General features: G+C 40.7%; 1 protein-coding gene across 1 annotated transcript; it reads left to right on the forward strand.

The window, feature by feature from the left end:
* Nucleotides 3514-4440, forward strand: OR13H1 (olfactory receptor family 13 subfamily H member 1). The gene has a single exon (NM_001004486.1). The coding sequence runs from the start codon at nucleotides 3514-3516 to the stop codon at nucleotides 4438-4440; it is 927 nt and encodes a 308-aa protein (NP_001004486.1).

Genomic DNA, 4949 nt, shown 5'->3' on the forward strand with positions numbered 1-4949 from the left:
TTTAATATTTGACAGCAAAAGCAGTGTGTTTTATAGAGTTCTAGGAGGAACATATAGTTTTAAATGGCATAATAATCAGCCATCCACTTCAATGCAAAATCAGTTCACTCTCCCATCTGTGGCCGGCCCATTATCTCATTAAATATTCCACTGTGAAAGACCCATATGTAGATAATTGGGAGCTAAATATACTCCCAAATATTCAAAAAAAATTTAAGATATGACTATACCAACTTAAATATAAGAGGCTGCGGGTCATTGTTTCATGTAGCCATTTGACTCATATATTTGTATGTTCTCACTCTGTAGAGATGATTTTCTCTATTTTCACTTGGAAAGGTGGAGGCAGGCCAAGGCAAAATCTCTTTCTCGGGGTCCTATGATAAATGAAGACAGCGGCAGCGTTAGGTCTCTCAAGCTCTGAGGGCACTCCTGTGAAGCCAGGTCACCACCACCCTCTCCATCCCTTACATTTGTTTCCCTCTTCACAAATAGCAAACACTTTCCTGGATATATGGATTTACCTTTGTTGTGCACCTAGCCTATCTGATAGGCTGAAAAAGGTAGACAATGTGACACAGGGATAGCTTACTAGAAGGCCATGACATGGAAGGGAAACGTTAGGAAATTTTCTTTCTTAAAGACTTTTAAGGGCCAGGAGCCGTGTCTTACGCCTGTAATCCCAGCACTTTGGGAGGCTGAGGCGGGCGGATCACCTGAGGTCAGGAGTTTGAGACCAGCCTGGCCAACATGGTGAAATCCCGTCTCTACTAAAAATACAAAAATTAGCTGGGCATGGTGTCGGGCACCTGTAATCCCAGCTGCTTGGGAGGCTGAGGCAGGAGAATCACTGGAACCCAGGAGACGGAGGTTGCAGTGAGCCAAGACTGCGCCACTGCACTCCAGCCTGGGTGACAGAGTGAGAATCTATCTAAAAAAAAAAAAAAAAAAAGATACTTTTTAGGACAAGACAAGTGAGAGAGTTTCCCATTTCAGAGATGATTAGGGATACTTCATTTCTTAGAAAACCGCTTCTGTAGCCTACATGTCTCTCCAACAAAGGAGAAAAATGTAACACATTTCAATACTCTGCGGAGTGAGTTCTTTTTTTCTTTATCTGAGGGAAGTCGAGAATCCTAGCTTGTTAAAACTAGACGGGACCTTAGAGATAATTTAGTTTAACAAGATTGGAAATAAAAATTCAGGCACGTAAGGGGAAGAAACTTGTCTAGAGACATAGCAAGTGAGTAGCGGAAGCTGCAAGGAGGGGATTAGAAAGAAAATGGGAGTTAGTCTCATGGAGAAACACATATACATCAAAGGGGTGCTTAGCATAGAAACAGTAATGTCAAGGGAAGAGGCAGATGGAAAAAGAGAGGTTGCCTTTCAATAAGGAACAGCAAAAGAACTCCATTCACACATTCCTTCAGCAAATAATTATTGAGCTCCTATCTAGGTACTATTCTATATTTTGGGCACACAGCAATGAAGAAAACAGAAAAACCCTGACCTCACTGAGCATACATTCTAGTTGATAGAGACAAGCAATAAACATAATTAATAGATAAGCTATACAGTATGCTAGATGTAGTTCTAAGGAGAAAATAATGCAGGAAAGGGGGATATAAAATTTCAATGGCTAGAAATGAACTCCCAGACGAGGTGACCCAGAAAGGATGTAATGCAATTTCAGGGGCTGGAGATGAATTCCTAGATGACGTGACCCAGGAAGGATACACTGAAAAGATGCCTTGTAAGTAAAAACCTGAGGGAATTGAGAAGGTGAGCTGTGCAAGGATCTGGGTTTCATAAATATGGAGCAGAAAGTTTTTACAAATATAGAACAGCAGGATCAAAGGCTCTGTGAAAGGGATGGGCTTTGAGTATTTGAGGAATGGTGAGGAGGCTAGTGTGACTGGAGCAAAGTGAGCAAGGGAAAGGGTGGTAGGAGATGCGTTCAGAGAGGAGGTGATTGGGAGGCAAACCATATAGGGCCTCGTAGGTCATAGTAAGGAGATTGGTGTTTAGAGAGGCTGAAATGAGAATCTATAGTTAACAATATGATACTGTATACTTAAAATTTTATTAAGAGAGTAGGTCTTATGTTAAGTGTTCTTATTACAAAGATAAAAGAGAGAAGGAGGAAACTTTTAGGGATGTTTGTTATATTTACGGCATTATTTATGGTGGCCGTTTCATGAGTATATACTTATCTTCAAACTCAAGATGTATACATAAAATATGTGTACCTTTTTGTATATCAGTCATACCTCAATAAAAATAGAATAAATTTTTTAATGGAAGAGTGACCTGATTTCACTTACAGTTCAACTGAATCATCTGAACTGGATGGGAAGAAGACTAGAAACAGGAAAACCAATGACGAAGTTACTGGAAAAATCCAGGTGAATGATGATGATGCCTTGGAATAAAGAATGGCAGTGCAGGTGGCAAGAGGAGTAGGTAGATTCTGAATAACAGCTCTGAATGCTTAGGACTTTATATATTCATTTACTACCTATTGGGTTCTTGTGATCCCCCAGGTACTGTTCTATGTTCTAGGAATACACCAGTAAACAGCAGACAAGGGCCCTGTTATTAAATTCACATTTGAGTGAAAGACAAATAATAAGCAAGTAATCAAATTATTAATATAACTTCAGGTATTAGAATGTGTTATAAAAAATGAAGCAGGGCTAGGGGAAAGAGATGGGTGAGGATGGGATAAGAGAGCCTTTTCAGTGAGGCTACGTACTCAGACCCTCTCCTTACCACCCACACTTTTAGAAACTTCATGTTCAGTTTTCATACTCCTAACTGGGGCTCAACGACAACAGAATAGAAAATGTAGGAGAAGCTAGAAATGTAACTTCAGCAGGGGATATTAGAAGAGGGTCCTCCCAGACCTCACTACTACATCTACATAATATCAGCTCAGGTCAAAGAGCTACCTTGCACCCACTCTATGTCAGGCACCGTGGTAAATTCTGGAACTATGGAAAAATGAAGGCATGCACAATCTAGGAGTGAGAGACATCCCAAACATAGACAATATTTTAGCTAAGACATGTGTCAGAAGGTACCCTGTTGGTTGAGATTAATAACTCAAGCTAACTGAGATTCAACCATGTCTACATATCAGATTTATCTTGGAAAATGACGTGAGAAAGTCAGGAAGATGGCCTACCTTTCCTGTCTTCTTAGTTAGGAAAAATTATTCAAGAAGACCTCTAGTGGAGGAGGGCTGGAGAAATTTTCATATAACTATTTTCAAAAAGATAAGGAACTTTCCATTTTCTTAGGATTGAGGGAGGATATCTAGCTTTGCCTCTGTTCCCATTATAGATATCTATTCCATTTGTGTCCCATTCTTCTGAAAAGGACAAAGATAATGATCCTGCACACCCTAATTCTTTCCACCTTTCTCACACCCTCCATCTTTATTCCCATTCTTTCAGGTAACACTAAGTAGCCAATTGGCATCCATTTAATGAATAGTGGCAAGAGGGAAAGATGGCCATGGACAATGTCACAGCAGTGTTTCAGTTTCTCCTTATTGGCATTTCTAACTATCCTCAATGGAGAGACACGTTTTTCACATTAGTGCTGATAATTTACCTCAGCACATTGTTGGGGAATGGATTTATGATCTTTCTTATTCACTTTGACCCCAACCTCCACACTCCAATCTACTTCTTCCTTAGTAACCTGTCTTTCTTAGACCTTTGTTATGGAACAGCTTCCATGCCCCAGGCTTTGGTGCATTGTTTCTCTACCCATCCCTACCTCTCTTATCCCCGATGTTTGGCTCAAACGAGTGTCTCCTTGGCTTTGGCCACAGCAGAGTGCCTCCTACTGGCTGCCATGGCCTATGACCGTGTGGTTGCTATCAGCAATCCCCTGCGTTATTCAGTGGTTATGAATGGCCCAGTATGTGTCTGCTTGGTTGCTACCTCATGGGGGACATCACTTGTGCTCACTGCCATGCTCATCCTATCCCTGAGGCTTCACTTCTGTGGGGCTAATGTCATCAACCATTTTGCCTGTGAGATTCTCTCCCTCATTAAGCTGACCTGTTCTGATACCAGCCTCAATGAATTTATGATCCTCATCACCAGTATCTTCACCCTGCTGCTACCATTTGGGTTTGTTCTCCTCTCCTACATACGAATTGCTATGGCTATCATAAGGATTCGCTCACTCCAGGGCAGGCTCAAGGCCTTTACCACATGTGGCTCTCACCTGACCGTGGTGACAATCTTCTATGGGTCAGCCATCTCCATGTATATGAAAACTCAGTCCAAGTCCTACCCTGACCAGGACAAGTTTATCTCAGTGTTTTATGGAGCTTTGACACCCATGTTGAACCCCCTGATATATAGCCTGAGAAAAAAAGATGTTAAACGGGCAATAAGGAAAGTTATGTTGAAAAGGACATGAGCCTTCTTTGCTTCTAAACGTCTAAAATAACACAACGTCCCTGATGGAGAAAATGGTTTAAAGGATCTGACTTTATCTTTGGAAGTGATTGACATATGAGAAGCTTCAGGAAGTGCTCCCACCCCAAATATTATTCCTACTGAGACTTGAATTGCCATTAGAGGTATTATTTTTGCTCTTTCTTTACATAGAATATTGTTAGTGGCTACCCATTAGGTTACTCACCTTCAGGTAAATGAACTTATCAGAGTAATTTTCTCACTGACAGAAGAGACCTATACAGCAAGAGAATCTTCTGTAACTGTTGACAGCAGGTGAGGCATAACTGAAATTGGAAACTAAGACAAAGAATGGTATAATAAAAGGCCAGAAGACAAATGTCAGAAACTTTACAACTTTACTGAGGGTAAGCCCTGTTACGTAAGCACAATCTCCTTGTTTCACTTAATCTTGGAATCATGAGAAAAATTATCATAGCTATTTCCTACATTTGTGTAGAGTGTTTTATT

This window comes from Homo sapiens, chromosome X (genome assembly GCF_000001405.40).
Source record: "Homo sapiens chromosome X, GRCh38.p14 Primary Assembly".
Taxonomy (NCBI): Eukaryota; Metazoa; Chordata; class Mammalia; order Primates; family Hominidae; genus Homo; species Homo sapiens.